The sequence below is a fragment of the Homo sapiens genome, chromosome 11 (genome assembly GCF_000001405.40).
Source record: "Homo sapiens chromosome 11, GRCh38.p14 Primary Assembly".
NCBI classification, from domain to species: domain Eukaryota; kingdom Metazoa; phylum Chordata; class Mammalia; order Primates; family Hominidae; genus Homo; species Homo sapiens.
This window is the reverse complement of record NC_000011.10, coordinates 78321209-78348104: the sequence shown is the minus strand read 5'-3', so window position 1 is coordinate 78348104 and position 26896 is coordinate 78321209. Positions and strand designations below refer to the sequence as shown.

At 39.2% G+C, this 26896-nt stretch overlaps 1 protein-coding gene across 3 annotated transcripts in view, besides 1 other annotated feature; it reads left to right on the top strand.

The window, feature by feature from the left end:
• The window catches only part of GAB2 (GRB2 associated binding protein 2), a 202528-nt gene that overhangs the window by 69716 nt on the left and 105916 nt on the right, over window positions 1-26896 (top strand). The window contains exon 1 of one of the 3 annotated variants that reach the window (NM_012296.4): window positions 6186-6345. The exons of the other annotated variants lie outside the window; for them this stretch is intronic. The gene's annotated coding sequence lies outside the window, so the exon portion shown is untranslated. Of the gene's footprint in view, window positions 1-6185; window positions 6346-26896 lie in introns of those variants that run through there. 3 annotated transcript variants of the gene reach the window in all.
• Window positions 15533-15582: an enhancer, noted in NCBI's record as "active region_5319". NCBI's record gives its function as "activates an Ori minimal core promoter by ATAC-STARR-seq in GM12878 lymphoblastoid cells {active_cell/tissue: GM12878}" and the evidence as "EXISTENCE:reporter gene assay evidence [ECO:0000049][PMID:35858748]".

Below are 26896 nucleotides of genomic sequence, written 5' to 3'. Positions count from 1 at the left end.
CTCAATGTCAAGATGAAGATAAAGACCTTTATGATGATCCACTTCCACTTAATCAATACTAAATACATTTTAATCTTCCTTATGATTTTTTTCTCTATCTTTACTGTAAAAATGCAATATATAATATATAACATACTAAGTATGTGTTATTCCACTGTTTATAGTAGTTAAGTTTCAGGGGAGTCAAAAGTTGTACATGGATTTTTGACTGCATGGGAGGGAGCCATCCCCTAACCCCCATGTTGTTCAAGGTTCAACTGTATGTTCTCCCAGTTTGTGTCATGCCCTTTCCTTCTCTTAATTGTATCATTTGAGGAACAAAAGCTTTGAATTTTGATGAAGCTTAGTTTTCAGTTTTTCTTTTATGATTTATGCTTTTTGTTTACTTAAAGGTCACAAAGATTTTTCTCCTATGTTTTCTTGTAGGAGATGTTTTAGCTTTTACATTTAGGTCTATAATCCAGTTCAAGTTAATGTTTGTATATGGTGTGAAGCAAGGGTTAACATGGGGATTATCTTTTAGGTAAGTGTCTATTATGTATCAGGAACTTTATTTCTCAAGAAATAAATGTTCTAAGATAATTATCCTTATTTTAATGATGAAGAAAAGAAGTCTCAGAAGTATTAACTTGTTCAAATCGTACAACCAAGGCTCAAGTCCATGATTGCCCAACTCCAAAGCCCATGTTCTTTCTACCTTATTATGTTGGCATTGTTTTCAATGTCAGTTTGGACCCATATAAAAACGCCCAGCTGTACCCTATGAGGAGGATATAAAAATGTGAGATGGTAGTTGACACTCGGAGGACATTCATATCTCCAAACCCAACCTTATGAAGTTGGCCACAGCAAGCATGTTGGAAACTAGAACCAGGGGTTTCATATCAAGCCATTTGCTTAGGTCTGTATCTCAAAAGCTTTAAATACAACTTTTTTTGGTGCCCTCTTGATAAGGAGTCTTATACTGAGCTCTTCTTCTCTTTTATAGCTGGTCCATCAGAAAGATTAAATTAAACGTTTGGCCACATGGACAGTTAATCCTTAGATCACCCAGTTGGATGGTTCATTCCTGCTATGTTTGGTTTGATTTTTTATTTTTGGAAAACAAATAGTGAGTCAGTCTGCTTTCCCTCCCTTTCTCTGCCTCACCACTCCTTCTGGATTCTCTTAGATGCTCTGGTCATACTAGGTAAACAGTATTTTTCTTAAAATTTTCCTTGAGCCATGACAGAATCATGAGAGAGCTCCCCTGGCTCTGATACTTAATGCCCCCCTCTAAAAAGAAAGGTCTATTTGAGGCTATTCACTTTTGTCATCTTGAAAGAGTCTCTGAGTCTTACCTAGCAGGAATATTTTGTTTCTTTTCCTAAAAAAAAAAAAAATTATATATATATATATATATATATATATATATATATATATATATATATGGAGGGGATGTAAACAGAACAGCCCATACCTCTCTGTTCTTGCTTCTCATTAATGTAGATTTGGTAAATTCTCCTTTCTCTTCTCTTCTCTTCTCTTCTCAGGCAGCATGATGTAGGTGGGAAGAATATGGAGCTTTAAAGTGAGAAGTACCTACATTTGAATCCCAGCTCCAGTATTTACATAGCTAGCAAATCACCCAGTCTCTATGAAGTTCGATTTCCTATTCTGTAAAATGGGAATAACAAGTACTTTATGGGTTTGTTACTCAGTTTCTGGCACATGTGTGTGCTTATATTATTTCCTCCTGTTCTTTTATTAGATCTCTTTCTGAAGAGTAAGGATGTGAGATGATACTCATAAAAAGTCTGAATAAGGGGGTGTTGGAAGCTTATAAAGGGTATGTTTTGAATATGGAGCCCTATTTAAGGTGCCTTAACAGATTTATTCCTTTCACTTTGGCTAATCCGGGCAGTTTGATTTCAAAGTCCAGACATGAAGGGTGAAGAATTGTAGTCATTCTGCCTGTTATTTTTAAAGTTATTTTTAATTTTTTACAGCTGTCGAGTTGATTGTCCTGGGTCTCTGTAAGCAAACTCTGTTCTCTGTGATGCAATTATTTGCTAGTGAGAAATTTATCTCATGGGCAACAGTGAGACTTAGGAAAAGAGTGGAGGAGAAAAGACAGTTTATCTGTCTAATACGGAGAGGATCAAATATAAATTGGTAGGAGAGACTGGGAAACTCTGATAACAAATTTGGGAGAGTTATACCTCTGTCTTGGGAAACAGAGCCCTGAGAAACACCAATCTTTGTGTCAGCTGGTAGGATGAGGACAGTCGGTGTCTCCCACTATCTTCTGGTTACCGTGCCTTCCAGCTGGCATCATTTTCCTCTGTTCCATGAGAATTTTCTTTGCATTTCAGTCTGGGCTGCTGGCCTCTGCCTCCTTTTTGCCTACTAAAAATTCTGTGGACTCTCAAATTAACATTTTCAAACTGGTACATTCTTTGAGATGCAGCTCAAGGCGTAGTTCTTCTAAGAAGCCTCTCCCTTGACTATTCTGCACAGTTTAATGGTGCTGAGACCACCCTAAATTATTCAGGTAGCCTTGAGAATCTGAACCTTTGAATATTTAATGAATTACAAAATGTGTGTGTTGAGGAACAGGAGTTAGCTACAGAGAGACAGATCAGAGTTAGTACCAACTAGAAGCACTTACACCTGACTTCCTTTTACCACTTTTGTCTTCTCAACTAAATTCCTAAACCTTCGCAGGATTGCCTTTCTAAAGCCAGGTGATTATATAACTCTAACAGATAAATATAGCTCTAGTTTCATCTATTTGCCCAGTCTTCATATTGTCTCTACAATTTTGGGTACAGTTTTTTGTTTTTGAGACAGGATTTCATTCCCATTGCTCAGGCTGGAGTCAATGGTGCGATACTCTACTCACTGCAACCTCTGCCTCCTGAGCTCAAGGAATCCTCCTACCTCAGCTTCGAAGTAGCTGGGACTATAGGTGCGTGCCACCACACCTAGCTAATTTTTGTATTTTTAGTAGAGACGGGGTTTTGCCATGTTGCGCGGGCTGGTCTTGAACTCCTAAGCTCAAGTGATTCACCCGCCTCCCTCCCTCCCTCCTGTGCCAGGATTACAGGCGTGTGCCACAGCACCCAGCCTGGGTACAGTTTATTTCACTTAATGTTATAAGCTTAACAATGCTTATTATAAAATTTGAGGATAATTTAATGGCTGCAGTGTGACTCACTCATTAAACCACTTTTGTGCCACCAAGACATTAGACCCTTTGTCTTCCTAGATTTTCAAAAAAAACAGGATATTGTTGAATCATTAAAGCCTTTAGGCAAACTTGTCTTATGCCTAAAATTCTGTTTTTCCCTCTATAACTGTATACAGGATATTTTGACTGTCCAACAAGTAAGATGAAGGAATTAATTTTTTTTTCTCTTAGAAGTGTTCACTGTGTAGATGAATAACATTTACAGTTAGATCTATGAAATATCTTAGGTTTTGTTTGTGATTGATTCTAAGAATTAAACAATGAATATTCTTTGCAACACTATAGTCATGTAAATATTCACAGCATAGCTGAGTTTCATAATTTGACCCATAGGACAAAAATAAAGTTTGATGATATTAAGCCTGCAATATTTAAAAGAGAATATTCCAAACATCAAGATCAAATAGATTCTCTTTCCGTCACTTGCCACATTGTCTTTCCTTTGCATTTATACCTTGTCTTTGCTTTTTGTTTACCTTGGAATTTTTAATTGCCTTTTTTATCTTAATTGGAGATTTTTTTCCTGATTGAAGAAAAACAGCATCTGCCATTACCTTATGACTAAGATCACTTAGCTTCTTAATCATACTGTTTGTTATAGGAAAATGACTTTCATCTTGACACATTTTTCTCTAAGTCCTCAGAGTTCCTGTTCTAATTTCAAGGCCTTCATTGAAATCCTGAGTTAAATCTTTCTCACATGCCATGTCATCCTACTTCTTAAAACCCTTTTTAATTTTGCTGTAAATCATCCCTGGTAATTTGTTCAGAAAGAGTACACAGGAGTTAAACTTTGTAACTCCTTGCATATCTAAAATGTTTTGCCTAGCTGTTCTATAGACAGTCCTTCAACTCATCACCTTGATTTCTCCTCCTCTTCCTGCCGTTACTCTCCTTGTTGTCTAATTCTGTGCTATTCAGTATGGTACCTTCTGGCTACCTGGTCTGTTGAGTACTTGAAATCTGGCTTATTTGAATTGAGATGTGCTGCAAGTATCAAATACACACTAGATTTTAAAGACTTAGTACAAAAGTAAAGATAAATATGTATACTATTTTTATATTGATTATATATTGAAATAATATTTTAGAAATATTAGGCTAAAATATATTAAAATTAATTTCACCTGTTTCTTTTTACATTTTAAATGTGGCCACTATAAATTTTAAAATCACATATGTGCCTCACGCTACATTTGTATTTGACAGTGCTGCTGTAATTCCCAAGAAGCAGCAGTGGCTGCCGCATACAGCCTTTCCCCATGGTCCTGAACCTGGCTTCTTTGGGTGGATTATGATACATCAGCATTGTAGTATGTCTACAATAATGTACATTTACCAATATAATCCCATCTATTTCCATCTTTTGAAAATAGTTAAAAATTTCTAGTCTGTCTTTTTGCCCTTATTCCTCTCTCCCTCTCCTTCTCCCTCTCCCTCCTTCTGTCTCCCTCTCCTCCCTCCCCCTCCCTCCCTCCCTCTCTCCCTCTCTCCTTCCCTCCCCTAATTACATTATTCCTTCTTGTACTACATTGCCACTTCTTTGGGGTTTGGGAGGAAAATGAATTTTCAGTCTATCAACGGGGAAGCAGAAGATTTTACTCATCTCATCACTATTTTTAACAACAGTGCAGTGGTTATCTTCATGTGTAAGTCAGTCTACATCTCTAGATATTTTCTCATGGTGGTTTTCTAGAAATAGATAAACTGTTCAGATTATGAATTTCTTGACTCTTGATATAGATATTGACAAGTTGATTCCTCAAAAAAGTAACTAATTTATATTCTTAGTGGGTTATTCAATAAAAGGTGGGAGCAGTTACTCAAGGGTACCTACATTCACATCTGAACCCCTTATGTGGGTCTTGTATCTCAGCTTCTGTGGAAAATTTGGCCTCTTTTCTGAATCACTAAACTTTTCTGGGCCTCTTTTATTTGTAAAACTGGGATAATCATACCCTGAAGTAATGTATGGAAAAGCTCATTGAAAGTAGTATTTTATTATTTCAGCAAGTGCTTAAGAGCCTCCTACTTGTACTAAATACATGTTCTGTACTAGGAACTATGGAGGATGTCTAAATGATGTGAACCTGGGCCTCAAAACCAATTTACAAAAAAAAGAAGCTACCACACAAGTCTTTTTGTGATATCTAACAAGAAGTGCAGGCCAGGCGCGGTGGTTCACACCTGTAATCCCAGCACTTTGGGAGGCCGAGGCCGGCGGATCACGAGGTCAGGAGATGGAGACCATCCTGGCTAACATGGTGAAACCCCGTCTCTACTAGAAATACAAAAAATTCGCCAGGCGTGCTGGCGGGCACCTGTAGTCCCAGCTACTCGGGAGACTGAGGCAGAAGAATGGCGTGAAACCGGGAGGCGGAGCTTGTAGTGAGCCGAGATGTGCCACTGCACTCCAGCCTGGGCGACAAAGCGAGACTCCGTCTCAAAAAAAAAAAAAAAAAAAAAAAGTGCAAAGTGTTGAAGGGGTTTAGAGGAGGGAGGGTTTATATTGTATTTTAAAGATCAAGGACAACAGCCTAGAGGAGGTGGCATTTAAGGTAAGCCTTGAAGAAGGAGTTTAATTTCAACAGAGAGTAAGGCTGGGAATAATGCGATGTGAGAATGATCTTGAGAAGAGGCACAGAGGGTAGGTTCAGGGCAGATCCGTTGATAGCATTCACTAGAGTGTAAGCAAAAGGTGAGGAAAACTGAAATTGTAGGTTGAAATTTTTGTTTCTGCGAGTATACTTATTTGCATTTGCACAGAAGGTGGTGATCCTTATATTTATTTCTGCTGTGCATCAATAGGGGAGGTGGAGATAAATAATTTCATTGTTTTGGCTCTGGCCAGAATTCATTAGGCACAGTTTGTTGTCCATAGGGAGGGGAACACAACACACACTGGCCTTTGTCTCCCTTCCACACAGGCTGGTGGAGATTCTGAGGCATTTTTAAACATTGCACTTAGCCATTCAGATGATAACTTGGATCAGAAATTTTGAGAAGTGGTGGGATGAAGAAGATCCCTGAAGAGAGGAGTAACTGAGACAAAGGCGAGGCTAGCAATAGAGAGACAAGTGAGGGAATTAGACCTTTGGTATCATCATGAAAAGGTGAGTTTTGGGAAACAAAGAGTATGGCGGGCAAGTACCTAGCAGGTTCTGAATATTTGTTCTTTAGGAGTCACCATTTAAACAAGACCCCAAGAGTGACATTAGGTGTAACCAAAGTGAAATTGTTGACTACTTGATGAGATTCGTGAGGATAGGCATTAAATGATATCTTTTAAGAAACCATTGGCAGTCCTGGAGCTGATGACCCTAGTGCAGGATCATTATGGTTGCTTCTTTCATCATCTCAATTTGATGACATATTTGAATTGAACTTAAACTATACCTAAGCCTTAATCCCAGGGTCTACTAGTGATTCAGCTCAGCACATCTAAAGGCAATGATTATTCAAGAGGATTACATTGGTATCTCCTGTCACACCAGCATTTAGTATTCTATACTTATTCCCTAAATATATCTCGTTGTCATTCTCCGATATTTACCATTTACCAATATTACCAATATGCCTAGAGCATAGCAATTGCTCAATAAAAGTGTATTGAAGAAATGACACATAATAGGCATTCAATAAATGTTGAATGAATAAATGAATATATCCAATAAAAGCATGTGCTTCCTTTATTGGATGAGAGATGTGAAACCATAGACTCAAGAATAAAGTCATGGGGTACAGGGTAAAGTAAGATAGTAGATATAATCAGGAGCTTCTAGCTGAACTGGAGTCACCTTTAATGCCAGGCACATGAACTTGACTTCATTTTATAGGCATCAAGAAAGAGCATCTTTGAATGTTGCTGAAGATGAAAAATATCTTGGGCATGGTAGTAGGGAGGTGGGAGGGAGGTTTACTGTTCCTTAAATGAGGCTTATCCCTTCCTGCTTCCATGCGGCTGATCACCATTGTGATGAGGAAAGAGATGATTTTGAGCCAGATCTGGGTTTGAGACCTAGATTTACCTTGGGCAAATTTCTTAAACTGGTTAAAGGCTTTGAGAGATACACCCTTTCCTAGGGTCATCTGTTGTGAGGTTGTGAGGTACAGATGAGAATTTATGTGTAAGTACTTATCATGGTGGTATCTGTCACGTGGTAAATACTTTGTTTTCTTCCTTTCCTGGGGAGTTTCCTTTTCTCTCTTCCCCCAGTCTTACTAAACTCCTGCCCATCTTTTTTTTTTTTTTTTCCTCTTCACATAAGCAGTGTAGCTTTTCCAGGGTTCCCAGATGAGACAGATATAAGCTTTCCCTTTGTTCATCTTCATTTGTGGAATTTTAGACTTTTGAAGAAAGATTTCAAAGTGATAGGAGGAATGACACAGGAAAGGGTAGAAATCTGAACAAAATACTATATTTGGGAGCAGAAAAATAAGGGTCCATGAGAGGGTGTATGCACAGTGTGAATAAAGGCATCTTGTCACTTAGGGCAACATCATTGATTCTCAGCCCATCTTTGTTCATCCAGGAGGCCAAAGAGAAAGACTGTCTTGCCAGTTCCTAGAATTATCCACGAAAAAGGGGCTACTCACTCCTCTTTATTCAGTGAGAGCTAGCTACCAATCTCCCAGATAGCCCTGAGCTTTTAGAATATGATGGTATGTTTTGATTAGGATTAGGGCAGTCATTCTACAGACTTTTTCTAGGAAAACCGAGCTTGGTAAGCAGAATAGAAAACATCCAGAATGACATCAGTCTGGTAAGCTTTGAAGGAAACAACCAAAGATGGTCAACACAACTGCTTGTTCTTTTATTTACCATTTCACACCTGGTGCAGTCAGGAAGCTACATTTAAAAAACAATTTTCTCTTTAAAAAGAAAAACAACCCGTAGTCAAAAAAGCACTCATTTGCCATAAAGCTGGAAGGATTCATTCATTGGAGCTGATTGTTCACATTTGTAGAATTTAGAATTTTGTGGTTGGAAGGGGCCTTAGAGTTGAATAAGGTCTTCAAAAGGAAACAAAAGGCTCTTGCTTTCTGTATGAACAGAGTTTATTCACAAGTCAGTTTTCCGTGATCTATGAGGAGTGATTTCAGACAATTAGCTAATTGGTTGAGGCAGGTGACCTATCAGCTCTGTAGAGGGGATGTTTGCTCTTAGGGATCTACATAAAGAACATATCTTACACTTTCCATGACAGTCAAAAGCAGCCCCATTAATCCTCCTATGTAATGGCCAGTCATAACCACAGATGAGGAGTGCATTTCATGAGAACCTTAACAGCTGTCAACAGTTGATCACTGCCACCATCAGCTCAGTGTTGTGTGGGGCTTTGAAATATTACTGAATGATCTTCCAATTTGTTGTATTGTAGGGCATAAGCGGCTCTCCAGATATAGTCTGCTATTTATTTTTTAAGTGTTATCAGATGCTTAGTCTGTTGAAATGACACTTGTCTATTGTATGAAAAACAAGGGCAGGACTGACTTGTGACCATCTTGAAACCCCAAATGGGTGCAAAAAAAGAAAAGAGAACAGGGCAAGTTTGGCTAGGCAAATGTTATATTTTTCTGGATTTCAAGTGTGAAAGAAATTCAAAATGAAAGAAGAGTGTCATAGATTTGTCATGAAAGGAATCAGGGCCTGTCACAGTGGCTCATGCCTGTAATCTCAGCACTTTGGGAGGCCGAGACAGGTAGATCAGTTGAGGCCAGGAGTTCAAGACCAGCCTGGCCAACATGGCAAATCCCTATCTCTACTAAAAATAAAAAAAAAATTAGCTGGGTGTGGTGACACATGCCTATAATCCCAGTTACTCGGGAGGTTGACGCACAAAAATTGCTTGAACCTGGGAGGCGGAGGTTGTAGTGAGCTGAGATGACGCCACTGCACTCCAGCCTGGGCAACGGAGTGAGATTCTGTCTCAAAAAAAAAAATGTGGGGGTGTACAGGGAATCAGGAGAAGATGACCAGTATGTATGAATCAGTAAATTCAGTCTCGTTGCCCTTAGTCTAAAACCCAGTGAAATTTGGAGTCATTGTTTTTGGAGCATATTATTAAGGTGTTCCCAGAATGTAAAGTTTTATGAGGAGAATGGCTGTGACAATCATGGGATGACTGGTCCTTCAAACCAGAACAACCACAGTACTGGTCATTAAGATATCTGGTTTTTTTGACACTGTGTGTATCCTTGTTAGTGTATTGGTTAAGGTCAGGGCTTTGGGTCTGTCAGAAATGGGATTGAATTCTGTTTTTGTCACCTACCTACTTTATAACCTTGGCCACGCACATGGTAAGCATTTATCTCAGGAATATTTTCAGTTTATGTAAGAGAAAGCGCATAGTGTGTTAAATAGTTGATTTTTCTCACATTACAAGAAGTCTAGAATAAGCAGTTCCTGCCTTTGGTGTAGACAGTCAGTGTTGCAATCAAGCATGCTTCTTCTGTCTTCCCAGCCAGCCATCTAGTGTGTGGGCTTTCAGCCTCATGGTAGCAAGAGAAGCAAAAGCTTTCCCAGGAACCTCCAAAAGATTTCTACTTATGTCTTATTATTCAGAACTGTGACATGTGGATACCTCCAGTTACCAGGAAAGTAAACATTCTGTTTGCCTAGACTCTCTAATTAAGGACAAACAAGGAAAAGGGATTATGAATAGGCATTATGTTATCCAGCCAACAGTGCAGTGTCTGGCATTGAATTGAACATTGAACATTCAATGCTCTTATGATGGTGATGGTAACAGATAATTCACTTCATCCTGCTCTCCTGAAGAGTCAGGTAACATACTTAACATTTTATACTTTATGGAGTACTTTTGTAAGACATTTGATGGTGTATTGTTTTTATATGTTTAGAAGTTCCTTGCTGACTGAGCCAAAGAAAGAAGATGAACTAGGAAGGATAATGTAGTCCAGGCCTTCATACTGACCTGGCCTGGCCTCGGGTCTTTTGCTTACAAAGCTTTCTCAAACCACTCTGAGCTACAGCAGTTGTTCATGCCTCTAAACTCCTAATATTACTTCTGACTTAATGCTGTATTTGTGCTGCTTTATATTTTAAAAATGTACATGGCTTCTTAGCTAAGTTTGGAACTCCTTAATTACAGGATCTACACAGAATGTGTCTTACGGAATATAGAGAGGAACTCATTTGTGATTCATTTATTGACAAAACATTTTCTACTTCTCACCATTAGCTGCACTTGAGATAGGGTAGGGATGGGGAGTTACTAGAATGATGCTTTCTTCTTCTATGAGGGAAGACTTTTATTTTCTTTGCCTAATACTCTACCATTCTTTCTCCAACTTCCACCTTCTTTCTCTTTTCCCTGCCTCTAAGAGAACGGTGTGGGTTGTCAGGGGAGAAAACATATCATTCCATTCTTTTATTACTTTCTAGCCCCTCCTTAACTAAGTCTTGTCTGTGACATCACTGTGGGGAATTCTGCCTTACTTCCTAATAGGGCAAAAACTTCTGACCCCTCCCTGCCATTTCTGAGACTACAGCAAAAAGGAAACCCCCGCATAGTAGCTTCTGGTGCCTTTTGCATATTGCCTTTTGCCCTGTCCTTATTTCTTTTTGGACATTTGATTTAAGAGGCAAATAGTACTAGATGAGGAAATCAAACCCACTAACTGAAATCTACGCTGAGAAGCAAATGATTATCTGATCTTTTGCTGAGACCAAATGCTAAGAATGTGTTGAGATCTTGGAACCCAAAGGTATTAGATGAACATTGAGCAAGAAGCATTTAATCGCAAGGCTGGTTGCCCAGTCCAAGGTTCTTTGAATGTTGTTCCCTGCTAGTGCTAGTACTATAGTCTTCAGAAGTCCATAGTCAAAGGTAGGTAGATGCTGGAGTACTCACAGTCAGATTTCTGAGCAGTTGAATACAATGGCTTTTCTTCCCTTTACTATGATATTTTAGAAATAGAAATGACTAGATGCTAACATATTTTAGTTCAATATATATCACTTCTTGTCATTAATTCAATTCTTTGGTTTATTTTGTTTCTAATTGCACAGATAACAAGAATTTCCTAACATTTTTCTCATACCCTTTGGCCACTTAATGTTCCCATGCTATTTATTCCTGTTCATTTTTCACTGTTTGATGATGGTTATTGTTGAAATTTAGCAAATAAAATGTCAGCTGTGGCACCTGTATTTCCAGGGTCTAAAATAATGTGTAGACATCCATAGACAAAACACAAAATTCTAACTATTATCTATTTTATAAAACAAAGCACTTTACCAAGGTTTTAGAGATTTAAGGTGCCCGTTAATTATCCCTCCTCCCAGGAAGTCAAATTATCCTTGTTTGCTCATGATATGATCTCATATTTGGAAAAACCTAAAGACTTCACCAAAAAAAAAAAAAAACAACAACTATTACAACTGATAAATTCAGTAAAGTTGCAGGATACAAAATCAGCATACAAAAATCAGTAGCATTTCTATATGTCAACAGTGAACAATCTGGGAAATAATTCTTGTTGTGTTTTTTTTTTTTTTTTTTTTTTTTTTTTTTTTTTTTGAGAGACAGTCTCGCTCTGTCGCCCGGGCTGGAGTGAGTGCAGTGAGTGCAGTGGTGCGATCTTGGCTCACTGCAACCTCCACCTCCCAGGTTCAAACAATTCTCCTGCCTCAGCCTCCTCAGTAGCTGGGACTACAGGCGTGCACCACTATGCCCAGCTAATTTTTGTATTTTTAGTAGAGATAGGATTTCACCATGTCAGCCAGGCTGGTATTGAATTCCTGGCTTCCAGTGATCCGCCTCCCTCCGCCTCCCAAAGTACTGGGATTGCAGGTGTGAGCCACCATGCCCGACCTGGAAAATAATTTTTTAAAAAGTAATCCCATTTATAGTAGCCACAAATAAAATTAAATGCCTAGGAATTAATTTAACTAAAAAAGTGAAAGATCTCTGTAATGAAAACTATAAGACACTGATGAAAAAAACTAAAGAAGGCACCAGAAAATGGAAAGATATTCCATGCTCATGGATTGGAAGAATTAATATTGTTAAAATGTCCATACTACCCAAATCTATAGATTCAATGCATTCCCTGTCAAAATACCAATGACATTCTTCACAGAAATAGAACAATTCTAAAATTTATATGGAATCACAAAAGACCCAGAATAACCAAAGCTATCCCAAGCAAAAAGAACAAAACTTGAGGAATCACATTACCCACTTCAAATTATACTACAGAGCTATACTAACCAAAACAGCATGGTACTGGCAAAAAAACAGACACATAGACCAATGGAATAGAATAGAGAACCCAGAAACAAATTCACATACCTACAGTGAACTCATTTTCAACAAAGCTGCCAAGAACACACACTGGAGGAAAGACAGTTTCTTCAGTAAGTGTTGCTGGGAAAACTGGATATCCGTATGCAGAAGAATGAAACTAGATCCCTATCTTTCACCATATACAAAAATCAAATCAAAATGAATTAAAGACTTAAATCTAAAACCTCTAACTATGAAGCTCCTACAAGAACTGATTGGGGAAAATCTCCAGGACATTGGTCTAGAAAAAAATGGCAAGTGGTAACTCCACAAGCACAGACAACCAAAGCGAAAATGGACAAATGGGATCACATCAAGTTAACAAGCTTCTGAACAGCAAAGGAGACAATCCCTAAAATGAAGAGACAACCCACAAAATGGGAGAAAACATTTGCAGACTGCCCATCTGACAAGGGATTAATAACCAGAAAATATAAGGAGTTCAAACAACTCTATAGGGAAAAGTCTAATCTGATTTTTAAATGGGCCAAAGATTTGAATAGACATTTTTTGAAGGAAGACATACAAATGGCAGACAGACATATGAAAAGGTACTCAACATCATTGATCATCAGAGATACATAATCAAAACTACAATGGGATATGTCACCTCAATTAAAATGGCTTTTATCCAAAAGACAGGCAATAGCAAATGCTGGCGAGGATGTAGAGAAAAGGAAACCATCTTACACTATTGGTGGGAACATGAATTAGTACAACCACTAGGGAGAACAGTTTGGAGGCTCCTCAAAAAATAGAGCTACCATGTGATCCAGCAATCCCACAGCTGAGTATTTACCCCAAAGAAGGGAATCAGTATTTTACACAGAGATACCTGCACTCCCATGTTTGTTGCAGCACTGTTCACAATAGCCCAGGCTTGGAAACAACCTAAGTGTCTATCAGCAGTTGAATGGGTAAAGAAAATGTGGTACTTATACACAATTACTATTCAGCCATAAAAAGAATGAGATCCTCTCATTTGCAACAACATGGATGGAACTAGAGATCATTATGTTAAGTGAAATAAGCCAGGCACAGACAGATAGACATTGCATGTTCTCACTTATTTGTGGGATCTAAAAATCAAAACAATTGCACTCATGGAGATAGACAGTAGAAGGATGGTTACCAGAGGCTGGGAAGGGGAGTGAGGGGTGGTAAGAGAGGTGGGGATGATTAATGGGCACCAAAAGTAAAATAGAAAGAATGAATAATACCTACTATTTTATTGCACAACAGGGTAACTATAGTCAATAATAATTTATTTGTACATTTTGAAATAACTGAAAGAATATAATTGGATTATTTGTAACACAAAGGATAAATGCTCAAGGGGATGGGTACCTTATTCTCCATGATGTGATTATTACACATTGCATGCTTGTGTCAAAACATCTCATGTATACCTACTATGTACCCACAAAAATTAAATTAAAAAAGTTACAAAATTATAACCATCAAAAAAATTATTATTAGTCCTCCCTTCTGTTGTAGAAAATAGGAAGGAACCAAAAGGAGATGAACTTATCACCTTTACTCATGACAGCTCAAGAGGGTCTCAGATATAGTCTGGAGATGCCAGTCTAGGAGTACTTGGTACAATGAGAGAAATATGAATCAGCAAGCAATATATAGAGTAAGACAAGAGAAAACTGAGGGTGAAATCCCAGGGATCATAGACCTTAAAAGGATCCTTATGATGACTGAAAATGAGGATAGAAATGCAGGAAATTGTGGTGTCAGGTAATCTAAAGGATTTAGGAGAGGAGCCTTCAGGTGTCTCAAATGCTGCCAAGAAATCAGTGAAGATAAGAGCAGCAGTAAGTATCTATGGGATTTTACAACAAAAAGTTTTAGATCACCCATGGTGAAAAACTTACTGTTCTCCCTGCCCAGTCTCCCTAGACTAATCACACAGGACCACCTACATTTTGTTTTTCAGTCTGTCTTCACATCTGGCTCCCACTGTGTATAAAAATATGCCACTGGGCAGGGGGTGGTGGCTAACACCTGTAATCCCAGCGCTTTGGGAGGCCAAGATGGAAAGATCTCTTGAGGCCGGGAGTTTGAGACTAGCCTGGGTAACATAGTGAGACCCCCCACCTCTATAAAAATTGTTTAAAAATTAGCTGGGCATGGTGGTGCATTCCTGTAGTCCTAGCTCTCGGGATGCTAAGGCAGGAAGATTGCTTCAGCTCAGGATTCGAGGCTGGAGTGAGCCATGATCGCACCACTGCCCTCCAGCCTGAGTGACAGAGCGAGACTTTTTCTCTAAAAATAAAAAATAAAAAAAGTCACCAAAAGATCTTTGGACTCAAATTATTCATTATAATCCTAGAAGAAGGACTTATCAGTATGTGTATTATTGGAAGATGGTTAGTGATAAGATTTTCCTTTGTAATTGGAGCCCAGTATTTCCGGGTGAAGACTGTAAAGCACTGGATCAAGAGTATACTGATGGTACCACATGTCCCAGGCAGGCTCTGAAACAAAGCCCAGCATTATCCTCCTCCTTCTGTCATTTGAAGGACCATCTTTCCCATTAAATTATAAGAGATTCTTGATCTGCTATAGGGGATACACCAGTGTTGGGGCTCAATAAATATTTGGCAAAATTAGGCTCTGCAGGTATAAGACAAGGCAAAGGGGAAGGTTCTTAAAAAAACAAAAACTATATCTTCAAATTTCTGCTCAGACTCTAGGGCATGAGGGAACTCCATGTGCCTGCTTCTTCCTCTAAGCACCTAGAAAGGTTCTTTCTCAAAGTCAATAAACAACACTTCTTAATAGTTACTTTTTGGTCTCCTAAATGTTACTTTTTAGTTTCCCTACTGTTCAAGCCAGAGCTATGATTTGTCATTACTCACATATGCCTTCAAGTGCAGATAAATTTCCTGCATGCCATTGCTACCTCTTGCTGCATCCCATTAGACTCTTACTTAAGTTGTGAGGTTTATTTTTTGATAACCAAAATTCACTTAAACATAGGATGTCATTTGTACTACTGATCCGTTTCTCTCATCATTTGAGTCAGGATATGTGTGTAGGACACTGGGGCTTTTACCTTCTTTTTGTGCTATCATAGCTTATATGAATAGAAAGCTCAGACACAGTGAGGACTTGATCAATATTGAAAGGAAATTTAAATCATACCAGGTACCCTATAAGCTTCTCCCCCAGGCAAATAAAGCCAGTGTTAAGTTGATCTCCCTAGGTTGGTGGGCAGGGAAAGTCCCAAGCCTGGTGGCTTCCTCAGTCACTTCTTTAAAAACCAGGGGCCTCACCACTGGTTTCCAATAGCCTGTGTATTTTTAGTCCTGCTTTTCATGTAAGTTTCCCATTAACTGCTTGCAGGAAATCTTTTCTTGGACATAATCTGCCCATTTCCTGAAGTCTTCCTCCCGCCTTGTGTCAGTTTGGGGATGAATCAAGTCAGCAGTTTTGGAGGGGGTTTGTTCTGTTCCCCGCCACAGGCTCCCCACTTTGTAGAGTACCAGAAAGCTGCCTTTCTTGTCTTTTCCTAGAGGCAAAGGGAGGAGGGGCAAGCCCTTGGTGTGTGTCTGCCTCTTGGGTTGCCCAACACAAATGCCCTTTTGTGTGTGGAGGGGGCATGTGTGTTTTTTTTCCCCTTCCCAATGGACACTTTCATTTACGAGGTCCGGATGGTGTCCTCTGGGCTATAAACAATGGCATAGGAGATAAAGAGCTGCCTTAGTGACCAGGCTGTGGTGGCAGCCACTGGTTTTCCATCTGTGTCTCTGTTTTCCAATCCCCTTGGTCTATTGTGAGTTTGGTCTGATCTGAGCCAGCCTGGGACCTCTGTAATCCCTTTCTAGGCCCAGAGCAGCGTGGGCACTATTCCTCTTATCCTGAGGACTTCAAGCTTAGAGAAAGAGGTTTTCTGTGGTAAGGATAGCAACTCCTCATGTTTGCACAATGTGTTTAAACACATTATATCTTTTGGAGAACTGAAATTCTGGATTTGTTATCCCTTAAGAATGGAGGATTCGGGGCTGGGCGCAGTGGCTCACGCCTGTAATCCCAGCACTTTGGGAGGCCAAGGCAGGCAGATCAGGAGGTCAGAAGATCGAGACCCTCCTGGCCAACATGGTAAAACCCCGTCTCTACTAAAAATACAAAAAATTAGCTGGGTGTGGTGGTGCATAACTGTAGTCCCAGCTACTGGGGAGGCTGAGGCAGGGGAATCGCTTGAACCTGGGAGGCAGAGATTGCAGTGAGCCGAGATTGTGCCACTGCACTCCAGCCTGGCAACAGAGCGAGACTCCATCTCAAAAAAAAAAAAAAAAGAATGGAGAATTTGGATCAAAAGAGTTGGAGTGCTGGTCCTGCTATTTATTTATTTTATTTTTATTTATTTTTTGAGACGGTGTCTGTCTCTGTCACCCAGGCTGGAGTGCAGTGGCGCGATTTCGGCTGACTGCAACCTCCACCTCCCGGGTTCATGCAATTGTCCCGCCTCAGCCTCCCGAGTAGCTGGGATTACAGGTGCCCACCACCATGCCCTGGTAATTTTTGTATTTTTTAGAAGAGACAGGGTTTTACCATGTTGGCCAGTCTGGTCTCGAACTCCTGACCTCAAATGATCTGCCCACCTCAGCCTCCCAAAGTGCTGGGGTTACAGCCATGAGCCATTGCACCTAGCCTGGTTCTACTATTAATAACTGTGAGATCTCAGGCAAATTCTAGAACTAATACCTTTCTACTTCATAGGGTGTTCCACAGTTCCATTAAGAAAATACGTTATGGGAAGAAAAATATTTCCATTAAGAAAATAACATATGGGAAGCACCCAAATGTTAACCAAAAAAGGAGGGGGTGGGAAGAGGAAATGTACAATGAGACAATATAAATGAATACGCTATGCATAAGATGCTAAGTATATAGTCACTATTTGGTTTTAGAGGTCTAAGAGTAAGCCTTTTCTCCAGATAAATCTACCCCTTCACCTGGATTCTCATTCTGACCATCACTTCCTTCTCTGTCATCTATCACTACGGGCCCTTCTTTCACATGTTGACATGACTCTCCTATCTCAAAGCAAACCACTATTTCTTGATTCCAGCCCCTAGCTCAGTGCTTGGCCCAAAGTAAGGTTCAACATTTTCTTGAATGGATACTTGTGAAAAACTCCAAAACGCAAAGCCTTGTATTTCCCTTCTTTCCTGTCCCCAGAGACCTGCTGTTTGTCACTCAAACTTCTTTATTTTTATACCCAGGGATCACTGTGAGAAATGGAAACCACTCCAGATACTTTAAACAGGAAGGAATTTAATACAAGGAATTAGATGCTTACCAAATGATAGGAAGAACTAGAGCTGCATGTTCTAGTTTAAGAACTCCATAGGTGACCTCCTAGGACACCACTGGTGATCCATTTAACCCCCACCCACACCCCATAGCTGTGGTCTCGGGTATGGGAGGTCAGACTTGAGAAGCTACTAATGAACCTGCCCCATGGCACTCAGGAGGCTGGATAATACCTCAGCCGCATAAAACAATCAAACGTCTATATCCTTTTTTGCCAGTAGAAACGAGAAATAGCCAAAAGAGAAATGGAAAATGGTCTTAGCCTCATTTCCACCTTACCAGTCTTATATGAATGCAAGTAATTGGCAGACTGCCTGCAAACAAATTTGGTAAAGGTGACTTTTAGTTTTCCAGATTTTCTAACTAGAAGGGGAATGGAATTGATGTTGAGTGGGCCAACCTATCGTACATACCAACCAACTTCATCTAGAAAGTATTTCAGGTAGCAATATGGCGAGATACATGCTAGCTGAGAAAATCCAAACAGATCTCTGTGTTTCTAGTTATAACACCTTCCAAGTACAAAACTGCTTCCATAAAATCATGCTTTTCTGTGGGAAATCTTCACATTTCCCTGTGGCCTCTAAAATGGTCTGGTTGCCCTAGCAGCCAGCTCGCCTTGTACTTGTTGAGTACCTAGGGTATTCTCAACAAATGCTTGAGTGAGTGCCTACTATATGTGTCAGTTACTATGAACACATCAAAAACACATCAAAAAAGAAAGACAAGGCCCTGCCTTCAAGGAGTTCATGATGGTCTAGTAGGGGGATACAGAGATGAAAACAGTTACAAAGTGATATTATAAATGCTAAAAGGAACACAGATGAGAGATACATAAATCGTATTGGGGGATAAAATGAGGATAAATATGAAAGGGCCATCTGTACTCTTGTAAAAAGTTAAGTGTAAGGGATTTTTAATTAATATAAAGAGCCTACAAGACTGGCCTTATAAACTCTCTACTCTCTTTCTCCTAGCCACGCAACCCAGACACAAAACCCCAAAAATGTTCTTCATTTTTGCTAACATTTTTAAATGAAAAATTTCAAACATAAAGCAAGATTGAAAGAATTTTACAATTAACACCTATTTATCAACCATCTAGATTCTGTCATTAATATTTTACTATGCTTGCTGTATCACTTATCTATTTGTCTATCCATTCCTTTGACCACCCATTGTGCATCTTATTTTTTATAGCATTTAAAGTAAATTGCAGACATTAGCATATTTCTCCCTAAATACTTTAGCATGCATATCATTCCCTAGAGTTCCACATCTGTTGAGTATTTTTCTTTGAGGTAAAATGTACATGGAGTGAAATGTCAATCTGAAGTGTTCTTTGAGATGTGACAAAAATGTAACTAAAGCTCCTATCAGACTATATAAAACATTACCATCGTTCCAGAAAGTTTCCCCATTCCCCTTTCCAAACAATTCTCACCCCACCCCCACCCTCCAGAAGAAACAATCATTCTGATTTTTTTTCTACCATAGATTAGTTTTGCCTGTTTTAGAATCTCATAGAAACAGAATCATACAGTATGTACTCTTTTGTGTAAGGCTTCTTTCATTTGGTATAATACTTTTTGAGATCCATCCATGTTGTTGAATGTATTTATAGACCATTCCTTTTTATTGCTAAGTAATATTCCATTGCATGAATATACCACTTTGTTTATGCATTCTCCTTCGGATGGATGCCTGTGCCGTTTCCAGCTTTTGGCTATTATGAGTAAATCTACTATAAGTCTGTAATGTCATTTTTAATAGACTTTTTGTCAGTTTTATTACAGAAGAACTGAGAAGATGGTACAGAGTTCCCATATACCCCACACCCAGCTTTCCTTATTATTAATGTCTTACACATAATGTCTTTTTTAAAAAGCCTTCCGCGGCTTAGTGTTTTTGATGGCTGCTTAATGGACTGCTGATTGGGAAGACTGCAAATGCAATGCTACCAGTAAATGCCCTGCAACAGGAAATTGTTTTTGTCATCCCATTGAGATTATTGACCCAGGATTTATTTTATCAAACAATGTGGACCCGAGAGTGCCTAGTGTTTGGTGTGTATATCCGTTTCTCGGAATCTTGCTCAGGGAAGGGTCCAAGGTCAGGTCCTTGTGTCTGCAGGTGAGGGTAATAGGGCTTTGTCCTCATCTGCACAAGCAAATGATCAGCCCACCACGACTTTCCCACTTTTCCACTTCTAGGCCTTCCTGTCACCCACAACAAATTCCCAACAAGTTTGTAAGATGTTTTGCCAAAGCACAGCTTATTATTATAATGACAATATTTATGCTGTACTTGCCAGTTTATAGAGGTCTTTAACATCCACTTCTTCAATTCAATCTAGTAAGGTATTATATCCATCTTCTAGAGGAAAAACTAAAATTCAAAGAAATTTAATGATTTATCCAAAGTGACACTGCTAGTTATTAAGAATTTAGGATATAAACCCAGCTGTCTTGCCCTTAAATCCTGATTTTTTTAAATGTATTATTATTTTCAAAATTTGGGGGGCTCACCATTGTTTTTCAAGGCAAAGTTCAAACCATTTAGTACATCATTTAAGTCCCACTGTGGTTGGGACTCAACCTACCTTTTCATTCTCATGTTTTCCTGGCTCCCTGTAGGCTCTAGAAACATTCAATGGTATGTTGTTTCCCAAACACTTCATGAATATTGCTACCTCTGTGCACTTTAATGATGCCTTCTCCATTATGTTCAGAATATTATTTCCTTTGTTCCATGCTTCATATCTTGGCCCCAAAATCTGTTTCTGGGAATATTGTTCATCCTTTAAGGCTCATTGCAGATATTGTTATTTTCATATGAAACATCTCTTGATTACTTTCCTCCTCCCACAACCATTCCCAGCTTGAGGTGCTTGGTTCCCTGTTCTGTTCATTGATTAGACTTTGAATGCCCAGCAGACCCCATTTCATATTAAAATGCAAAGATAATTAAAACATGATTGTTTATCATTCTTATAGGCTATTAGTGAATCAGACATGTACAGAAGTGATGATAATATGACATGAGGATTAAAATTGACCCAGATACCGATTTATTGAGTTCCCACTGTATACCCACCACAGATGCTCAGTACGTATTTGTAGAATTGTATTGAATAATAGACATGATGCATTTGCGCTAAATAGGAATGATCTTGAGTATAGACAAAGAATGGTGGCTTACCTGCTGTGGTTAAAGAGCATAAATGGGATCTTTGCTCAAATAAATCTCCATCCAATTTCTTCTTAGCCTTCATCCCATCACTCCACCACCACTTTCTGGCTTTCCTACTTCTAGGCCTTCTTCTTACCTCCAGTAAATCCTCAACAAGGTTTTAAGACTTTTTTTCCCAAAGCATAGCTTATGGGGAAATTTTACCGGGTCAGAACTGTGTCTGCTTTGTATATATTTGAGAGTAGCAAACTGAGTTAGTTCTGAGATGACTGAAAAATTCTCCACAATAGAATTTCATGTATTCAACAGAAGTTACTAAGGTCCTATTCTGTACTGAGAACACAAAGATGAACAAACTGTTATCCTTGACCTCATGAAGCTCATAGCAGAATGCAGACACCACACACAAATTCATGGAAGCAACGTGACTCTTTTTTTGGAAAAAGATAGGACAGAAATAATTTGAAGTAACAATTTCTTATTCCTACAGGAAGGCCCTTCAGAGTGCTTTCATGACCAAAGTTTCAGTTATTTACTCTTCATTTAGAAAAAAAAATTGTCCAAACTTGATTCAGTAGGGTTTACTGTTATCCTATTAACCTGCAACCACTGTATGTCATTTCCTTTTATAAAGAAATCCAAATAAATGCAGAAATGAAGTCCTCTTAAAAGTTTCTCAGTGTGACCTTAAGTAATGTTTGCATTTCAGTGGTGTTTGTGTTTTATAGCCCTCCTCTGACATCAAGTTGTGATATTTTAAATGAGACACTTATGTAAAAATAAGGGTATGACACTTTTTCTATCACACAAGGTTGGAAGCATCTTTCATAAAAACTAATGAAGTTATTTAGATATGGATATAGAATAAGCTCCAAGATATAAGTGGAATAAAGCAAAGTGCATTTAATATACTATGATGCTTTACTATATGTATTAAAAGGGGGAAGACATTGTATATATTCACTCTCATATCCATAAAATATCTGTGAAATGAAACACAAGATAAGAATGATTGTCTCTACAAAACAGAATAGGATGGCTGGAGTTAGGGTAGGGAAGACTTACAGTTTGCTATTTTATACCTCAATTCTTGAGCCATATTGTTAAAAAATACAATGTTTAAAAAGAAATGAACAAAAATGGTTTGGGGGTAGCTTACTGCTGAAGGTTCATAGGAATAGACTCTGGTGAATTTTCTTTTTTATTTGTGGCAATACTACTGGCATATTTTCTAGAGAAATTACCTGTGAAGTATTATCTATATATCTTGTGATTTAACTACTGACAATGTAGTGGTTGTCAGGATGTTGCTAAGTCATGTAAGATCTTTGAAAGCCCACACTTTACGTGGGTAGTAGTTGCTGTGGTCAGGAAGAAGGCACATCAGAACACAGATAGAGTTCTTAGAAATCTAGCATCATAAACCCCCAGGGCTGAAAGAACCAGAGTTCATTCTAGTCCACCTCTCTGTATGTTCGTATGTCCTCTACAACATTCTTGCTTAGGGATCTTTGTCATTCCGGTGTTGTTCAATATTATTAATAGAGCCTCAGCAACGTGGTTTCTGTGCTGTCTGGAATGATCAGTGGACTAGGACTCAAATTACTTGGTTCCTAGTCTCAGCTCTGCCACTAATTAATTCTGTGGCTTCAGGCAAATCACTTTGCCTCTCTGGGCCTCTGTTTTTTCATGACTGAAGTTAGAGCATTGGCCTGATGGTTAAGCACATGGCATGGTCACTGTTGCTTCCCCTCCCCACCTATAATAGACATTACTTCTTAGTTTTGGCAGGTTCTTTGTGGTGGATAACTACAAACAAAGTCTCAGAATCCTTCTCAACACAGCCTTCCAGGCAACTAAAATCAGTAGATAGAACTTGGATGGGACTTGACAAACAAGATAAAAGTTACTTACTTCCATCTCTAAGGTTCTCAAGTAGCAGTGTGCAGGTACATATTTAATGACAAGTTCTCAGCAAAAAAATAAGATGCCCTGGTTTGCATCGTTTGCCAATTCCCATGGTGTAAATATTCACACCATGACTGATTTCAGACTACCATTGCGAAGTAAATTGGGTTGCAAAGTTCCCGAAAGTTTAACAGTCAGCTTTTATGAGCTGATAGAAGCTGTCTCTGGCCCATCACTGTAAAATTAATGACTTTAGATTAGCTGGCCATAACCATAAGTGAATATGAAAATGACCATCTTCCTTTGGGAGTTTTATCCAGAGGCATAATTCTTACCTTGTATGGTCTTTTGGACTTCGGAAATACTTGGTTGTCATCAGACCTTGATGTTTTACTTCCCTGAACCTCAGCTACACTATCTGGAAAATGGGAATAAGGATTCCTACTTCAGAAGATTATAGTGAATAATGAGACACTATGTATAAAGCACTTAGCATGGCATCTAGCATATGGATTGATATTCCCCTTCCCTTAACAGTGTGGTAGATTATATCTTTATCTTTCCCAGACTCATGAAAGGCTAGCCATTGCTTTCCCTCTAGCACCTTTCTTTTTCCATTATACTCCCTTGGCATTCCATTTTCCTCTGCTCTAATTTACTTAATCTTCTGTCTGAGTGGAATGTTAAATATTTAATCTTACCTGTTCTTAATGTTTTATTTATCATCTATCCAGGCACATTTGTGAGTAGAGACCAGCCCTGTGTAAGTCTCCTGAATTATACACCATCACAGCATCATAAGTAAATAAGTGCTAATAAGTCCCCACTCTTGGGATCAAACTTAAGGATGATACCGAAGGGAGCTTGTGTTACATGAGCACAAGAGGAGGCTGCTAAAGATCAGCCAGAATATGATATACTTGTAGAATTCTGTCTCCTCCTGTGTACTTATGGCCAGTGACCTCACGGCAAGTAGAAAGAATTTCACATTTTAAGAACATGCCTCTTTAAAAAAAAAAAATTCAGAGGGAGTCAGGCATGGTGGATCATGACTGTTATCCCAGCACTTTGGGAGGCCAAGGTGGGCAGATCACCTGAGGTCAGTAGTTTGAGACCAGCCTGGCCCACATGGCAAAACCCCGTCTCTACTAAAAATACAAAAATTAGCCAGGCATGGTGGCAGGCACCTGTAGTCTCAGCTACTCGGGAGGCTGAGGGAGGAAAATTGCTTGAACCCGGGAGGCGGAGGTTGCAGTGAGCTGAGATGGTGCCAGTGCCCTCCAGCCTGGGCAACAGAGCCAGGCTTTGTCTCAAAAAAAAAAAAAAAAAAAAAAAAAGAAAGATTCAGGGGGTACACGTGTAGGTTTGTTCCATGGATATATTACAAGATGCTGAGGTGTGGGCTTCTATTGATCCTGTCACCCAAATAGTGAACATAGTGCCCAACAGGTAGTTTCTCAACCTTACCCCCCTCCTCCCTCCCCCGACCTTTTTGGAGTCCTCAGTGTCTACTATTTCCGTCTTTATGTCTGTGTATACCCAATATTTAGCTCCCACATATAAGTGAGAACATTATAAGTGTGGTGTTTGGTTTCGTTTCCTTTTTTTTTGAATTGGGGAGACGGAGCCTTGCTCTGTTGCCCAGGCTGGAGTGCAGTGGCATGATCTCGGCTGACTACAACCTCTGCCTCCTGGGTTCAAGTGATTCTCCTGCCCCAGCCTCTCAAGTAGCTGGGATTACAGGCACACGTCACCATGCCCAGGTAACTTTTTGTATTTTAGTAGAGATGGGATTTCACCATGTTGGCCAGGCTGGTCTCGAACTCCTGACCTCAGGTGATCGTCCCGTCTCAGTCTCCCAAAGTGCAGGGATTACAGACCTGAGCCACCTCATCAAGACTGGTTTTCTGTTTCTACATTAATTCACTTAGAATAATGACCTCCAGCTGCATACATGCTGCTGCAAAGTATGTGATTCCATACTTTTTACAGCTGTGTAGTATTCCATGGTGTATATGTACTATACATTTTAAATCCAATCCACCATTGATGGGCACCTAGGTTGATTCCCTGTCTTTGCTGTTGTAAATAGTGCTGCAATAAACATATGAGTGCATATGTCTTTCTGGTAGAATAATTTATTTTCCTTTGTACATATACTCAGTAATGGGATTGCTGAGTTGAATGGTAGTTCTATTTTTAGTCTTTGCAAAATCTCCAAACTGCTTTCTACAGTGGCCGAAGTAATTTACATTCCCACCAACAGTGTATAAGGATTTCCTTTGCTCCACAGCCTCTCCAGCATCTGTTGTTGTTTTTTTTTTTTTTTTACTTTTCAGTAATAGCCATTCTGAGTGGTGTGAGATGGTCTCTCATTGTGGTTTTGAGTTGCATTTCTCTGATGATTAGTGATGTTTGTACATTTAAAAATGTTTGTTGGCCCATTGTGTGTCATCTTTTGAGAAGTGTCTGTTCATGTCCTTTGCCCACTTTATAATGGTATTATTTGTGTTTTTTATTGAATTATTTAAGTTCTTAGATAAAGATTCTCAGTATTAGTCCTTTGTCAGATGCATAGTTTACAAATATTTTCTCTCATTCTGTAGGTTGTCTCTTTACTCTCTCGATAGTTTCTTTTGCTGTGTACAAGCTCTTCAGTTTAATTAGGTCCCACTTGTCAATTTTTGTTTTTGTTGTAATTGCTTTAGAGGACTTAGTCATAAATTCCTTGCCAAGGCTGATGTCTAGAAGGGTATTTTCTAGATTTTATTCTAGGATTTTTATAGTTTGAGATCTTACTTTTTTTTTTTTTTTTTTTTTTTTTTTTTTGAGACAGAGTCTCCCTCTGTCAGCCAGGCTTCAGTGCAGTAGCTCGGCTCACTGCAACCTCCGCCTCCTGGGTTCAAGTGATTCTCCTGCCTCGGCCTCCTGAGTAGCTGGGATTACAGGCACGTACCACCACGCCCGGCTAATTTTTATATTTTTATTAGAGACAGGGTTTCGCCATGTTGGCCAGGCTGGTCTCAAACTCTTGACCTCAGGTGACCCGCCCACCTCGGCCTCCCAGAGTGCTGGGATTACAGATGTGGGCCACTGTGCCCAGCTGAGATCTTGCATTTAAGTCTTTAATCTATCTTGAGTTAATAATTATGTATCATGATAGGTAGGAGTCCAGTTTGATTCTTCTGCATATGTTTAGCCAGTTTTCCCAGCACTATTTATTGAAGAGTCTTATCCCCATTGTTTTTTTTTTTTTAACTTTGTCAAATATCAGTTTGTTGTAGGTGTGTGGCCCTATTTCTGGGTTCTCTATTCTGTTCCATTGGTCTACATGTCTGTTTTTGTAACAATACCATGCTGTGTTGGTTACAATAGCCTTTTAGTATAGTTTGAAAGTTGACTAATGTGGTGCCTCCATCTCTGAAGAACATGTCAATTTTTAAATGCAAGTAGAGTACTTTTCAAAAGTTTCCCAAAACTGAACTTTTGTTAAATCTTACATATAATCTTCTCCCTCCTCTAGTACAATGTTTATAAAATGAGAGATACTAGAGGAAATGCAGTGTGAACTGTGCTGCATCTCTTAATTACAGGAACCATTTCTCCGCTTACTGAACACATACTGCACTCCACGCTGCTGTGGGCTAGGAGTAAAAAGACATGAGCAATTTTTCCTGCTTGCAAGGAACTTAAAATCTATAGTAAAGAGGTAATTCAGCCAAAAAGTATAACATAAAGTGATAAGTTCCATCGGTAATAGAGGTAAGCAGGAGGTAGAGCAGACCATACATACGGGTCATTTCCATCAGCCAGGGATGGATAGAAGATTGTGGGAGAGCATCCTGGAAGGAGTGATGTCGGAAACATCTGTTCCCCTTCTTTCCTCTCTCACAGCTCTTAGTACTGTGCTAAGGTTAAT